The sequence below is a fragment of the Homo sapiens genome, chromosome 16 (genome assembly GCF_000001405.40).
Source record: "Homo sapiens chromosome 16, GRCh38.p14 Primary Assembly".
Lineage (NCBI taxonomy): Eukaryota > Metazoa > Chordata > Mammalia > Primates > Hominidae > Homo > Homo sapiens.
In genome coordinates this window covers 59,834,319-59,839,882 of record NC_000016.10, presented here as the reverse complement: position 1 = coordinate 59,839,882, position 5,564 = coordinate 59,834,319, and positions in this window count along the sequence as shown.

The window sequence follows — 5,564 nt, the reverse complement described above, 5'->3', positions numbered from 1 at the left end:
TCCAAACAGAGATTTTTATGATCATGTTTAAGATTCTGGTAAAACAAAGGAAGATGAAAGAAGATGAACTGCCTGTTTTTTTGATTTCACTTTCTACTTTTTTTAGAACCACAGTTCATATTTTGTTATAACAATATGTGTTTTGTGGTAGATACTAAGAACAAAAAATTTTGCTATTTTATCTCATCACGTAATTCTTCTCAGACATATTTATAACCCCTCAGAGGATACAATTAAGCAACAGAAAAAAATGTTTTGAACTGTCTATATCTGCAAAGTTGTTTTATTCAACTATATTTTTTTGAGACAAAGTTTTGCTCTTGTCTCCCAGGCTGGAGTGCAATGGCACGACCTCGGCTCACCGAAGCCTCTTCGTCTTGGGTTCAAGCCATTTTCCTGCCTCAGCCACCCGAGTAGCTAGGATTACAGGCGCCCGCCACCACGCTCAGCTAATTTTTGAAGTTTTAGTAGAGACAGGGTTTCACCACGTTGGCCAGGCTGGTCTCGAACTCCAGACCTCAAGTGAGCCACCCACCTTGGCCTCCCAAAGTGCTGGGATTACAGGCGTGAGCCACAGCGCCTGGCATATTCAACTATATTCTTTGAGTTTGGTAACTACTTTGGGAGTGATTCCAACACTTTAACATTCAGTAAAGTATGATGTAGAGTAACGTTACAGTCATTTACTGAGTTTAATATACACAAAAAAGTATATCCATGTGAGAGACATGGACAGAATTTTTGTGGAGTACAAAATAGAATTGAGTGAAAAATGACTAGGGATATGCTATCTGGAGGCCATGGCCTGTCAAATTCCTGAACCAGACTGCTGACATCTCAAACAGAGCAGACTTTATCTTCTAGACTCTATTCTTTTCAATGTTGATCTGGTATTTTCTGTAGACATAGCGTGAATTTGTAGATGAGCAAAAGCACACATTTATGTACAGCCAAAGGATACACACACAATCAAAAGCAGGGGGCCAAGAATAATGGGCTAATATTTATATTCTTATAGGTGATAGTACTAATGTCTCTAAATTCAGATTCCACCTGACTCCACCCCTGAGCCCACATCCTGACTGCTGATCAGAAATTTTGAATCAGGTGAAGCCTCTTTCAATAGTCTCAGGGTTAAGCCATCTTCACTCCTGGCTTTACCTGGCCTTGTAGTTCCTCCTTTATGTGTCTATCCCAGTGGTTCTGACAGTGTTTTCTAATTTTTTTCTCATCCCCTACCAACCTATTCAGTAGAAGGAAACTTTGATTTCAATCTGTGTGTCATGGACTGGCAGCTCTTCCCTCCTATGATGAACTCTAATATCTATAAATTGGCCTCTTTTTCAGTTTCTTCCCCTAACAATGGCACACTTATTCTCCTGACCAGATACCAAAGTTTCCATTAATATTCTGTTAATATGCACCTTTAATATTATCCAATAAGCACCCATATTTCCCTTTGTCATTTTTTTCACTTATTTGGCTATTCACCCTAGAGAAATCAAATAATCAGGTGACTCAAAGATAGCAAAATATTATTGAAAAAATACAGGTGCCAGGCGTGGTGGCTCACACTTGTAATCCCAGCACTTTGGGAGGCTGAGGCAGGCAGATCACCTGAGGTCATGAGTTCGAGACCTCCCTGACCAACATGGTGAAACCTCATCTCTACTAAAAATATAAAAAAAAAAAATTAGCCAGGCATGGTGGTGGGCACCTGAAATCCCATCTACTGGGGAGGCTGAGGCAGGAGAATCACTTGAACCCAGGAGGCAGACGTTGCAATGAGCTGAGATAGTGTCATTGCACTCCAGCCTGGGCAACAAGAGTGAAACTCTGTCTCAAAAAAAAGAAAAAAAAAAACAGGCAAATACAGGCTTTGTCAATGTAGTTTAGAAAATGAATTCAAATTTTCTGTGCCTGTTTTCTTATTTATAAATATAGGTATTACTATTCATCTCCCATAAGATTATTGTAAGAATTTCATGAGACAACATATATGAAAAGATGTAGCATGATGTCTTTCTCACAGTAAGGACTTTGGTTAACAACACTAACTCCAGAGTGAGAATTTCTGGTTTTAAATTCCATCTACTTCAGACACCAGTTGTGTGACTTTGGAAAACACACACAAAGAATATACTAAGACTCAAGTGCTGGAAGATTTAAAGCTAGATTTTAAAATCCAGATACATTAATAAATGAGTTATTTAATCTTTCTAGTCTTGTTTTTCTCCCCTGAAAAATGGGGATAATAATAGTAGCTAATCCACAGGGTTGGTGTGAGTATTCACTAAGTTAATATACAAGAATGATAGTCAACACTTACTGTTAGCTACTTTCACTGCTTTGATAGCAGAAGGAGGAGGTTGGGGAGAAGAAGTAATGATTATTAACTACTTCATTTTTCTCCCTTTATGCATACCTTTGTACTGATTTACATAACATATACAATGCTGGAAAGAGTTAAGATATATATGATCAGCAGAATTATAGTTTAATGTAGTTCATTTAATGTTTTAGGTATCTGATTGGTAAAATTGTTCTGTTAAGAATCAGGGCCCAAGAGAATACTTATATGTTATCTATAGTTCAGTGAAAATGATAATGTTATAGACCCCAGGGTCATGCAGTAAATGCTATTGTTTCCTCTTTCCTCACATTTGCTTTTTTGGGCCAGTGCACCCATTCCCAAGCGCCTGAAAATGTTGGTTCACATTTTCTTCCATTCATCACATAATTGAAATTTCATCTAGTAAGAGAGTCATTCTATTCTAATGTGCATTATGACATTCCATTTTCAAAATAGTCCATTAGACCAGGTTTTAGGATTTAAATTTGCAGATGAGAAAAATGAAAATTGGAGAGATTAAGCAACATACCTGACATCAGTGACAAATTTAAAACCTCAACCTCCAGTCATCCTTATTTCAAGTCCAAGGCTTTCTTTCATGGTGCTTTGTGGATTCATCCACACTCTCTCAACCCCATCTTTTAAGAACAAAGAAATCTCCCAAAAAAAGAAATAGGCTGGGGGGTGGAGCCAAGATGGCCGAATAGAAACAGCTTCAGTCTACAGCTCCCAACATGAGCGATGCAGAAGACGAGTGATTTCTGCATTTCCAACTGAGGTACTGGGTTCATCTCACCGGGGAGTGTTGGAAAGTGGGTGCAGGACAGTGAGTGCAGCACACCGAGCATGAGCCAAAGCAGGGCAAGGCATCGCCTCACCCAGGAAGCACAAGGGGTCAGGGAATTCCCTTTCCTAGTCAAAGAAAGGGGTGACAGACAGCATCTGGAAAATCGGGTCACTCCCACCATAATACTGCACTTTTCCAAAAGTCTTAGCAAACGGCACACCAAAAGATTATATCCTGCGCCTGGCTCTGAGGGTCCTATGCCAGTGGAGCCTCGCTCATTGCTAGCACAGCAGTCTGAGATCATACTGCAAGGCGGCAGTGAGGCTGGGGGAGGGGCGCCTGCCATCACTGAGGCTTGAGTAGGTAAACAAAGCGGCCAGGAAGTTCAAATCGGGTGAAGCCCACCACAGCTCAAGGAGGCCTGCCTGCCTGCCTCTGTAGACTCCACCTCTGGGGGCAGGGCATAGCCAAACAAAAGGGAGCAGAATCCTCTGCAGACTTAAATGTCCCTGTCTGACAGCTTTGAAGAGAGTAGTGGTTCTCCCAGCACGCAGCTAGAGATCTGAGAACGGACAGACTGCCTCCTCAAGTGGGTCCCTGACCCCCCAGTAGGGGCAGACTGACACCTCACACGGCTGGGTACTCCTCTGAGACAAAACTTCCAGAGGAACGATCAGGCAGCAACATTTGCTGTTCACCAGTATCTCCTGTTCTGCAGCCTCCACTGCTGATACCAAGGCAAACAGGGTCTGAAGTGGACCTCCAGCAAACTCCAACAGACCTGCAGCTGAGGGTCCTGACTCTTAGAAGGAAAACTAACAAACAGAAAGGACATCCACACGAAAACCTCATCTGTACATCACCATCATCAAAGACCAAAGGTATATAAAACCACAAAGATGGGGAAAAAACAGAGCAGAAAAACCGGAAACTCTAAAAATCAGAGTGCCTCTCCTCCTCCAAAGGAGCGCAGCTCCTCACCAGCAATGGAACAAAGCTGGAAGGAGAATGACTTTGATGAATAGAGACAGGAAGGCTTCAGATGATCAAACTACTCCGAGCTAAAGGAGGAAGCTTGAACCCACGGCAAAGAAGTTAAAAACCTTGAAAAAAAATTAGACGAATGGCTAACTAGAATAACCAAGGCAGAGAAGTCCCTAAAGGACCTGATGGAGCTGAAAACAAAGGCACAAGAACTATGTGACAAATGCACAAGCTTCAGTAGCCGATTCAATCAACTGGAAGAAAGGGTATCAGTGATGGAAGATCAAATGAATGAAATGAAGCGAGAAGAGAAGTTTAGAGAAAAAAGAATAAAAGGAAACGAACAAAGCCTCCAAGAAATATGACACTATGTGAAAAGACCAAATCTACATCTGATTGGTGTACCTGAAAGTGATGGGGAGAATGGAACCAAGTTGGAAAACACTCTGCAGGATATTATCCAGGAGAACTTCCCCAATCTAGCAAGGAAGGCCAACATTCAACTTCAGGAAATACAGAGAACGCCACAAAGATACTCCTTGAGAAGAGCAACTCCAAGACACATAATTGTCAGATTCACCAAAGTTGAAATGAAGGAAAAAATGTTAAGGGCATTCAGAGAGAAAGGTCGGGTTACCAACAAAGGGAAGCCCATCAGACTAACAGTGGATCTCTCGGCAGAAACTCTACAAGCCAGAGGAGAGTGGGGGCCAATATTCAACATTCTTAAAGAAAAGCATTTTCAACCCAGAATTTCATATCCAGCCAAACTAAGCTTCATAAATGAAGGAGAAATAAAATACTTTACAGACAAGCAAATGCTGAGAGACTTTGTCACCACCAGGCCTTCCCTAAAAGAGCTCCTGAAGGAAGCACTAAACATGGAAAGGAACAACCAGTACCAGCCACTGCAAAAACATGCCAAATTGTAAAGACCATCGAGGCTAGGAAGAAACTGCATCAACTAATGAGCAAAATAACCAGCGAACATCATTAATGACAGGATCAAATTCACACATAACAATATTAACCTTAAATGTAAATGGGCTAAATGCTCCAATTAAAAGACACAGACTGGCGAATTGGATAAAGAGTCAAGACCCATCAGTGTGCTGTATTCAGGAAACTCATCTCACATGCAGAAACACACATAGGCTCAAAATAAAGGGATGGAGGAAGATCTACCAAGCCAATGGAAAACAAAAAAAGGCAGGGGTTGCAATCTTAGTCACTGATAAAACAGACTTTAAATCAACAAAGATCAAAAGAGACAAAGAAGGCCATTACATAATGGTAAAGGGATCAATTCAAGAAGAAGAGCTAACTATCCTAAATATATATGCACCCAATACAGGAGCACCCAGATTCATAAAGCAAGTCCTTAGAGATCTACAAAGAGACTTAGACTCCCACACAATAATAATGGGAGACTTTAACACC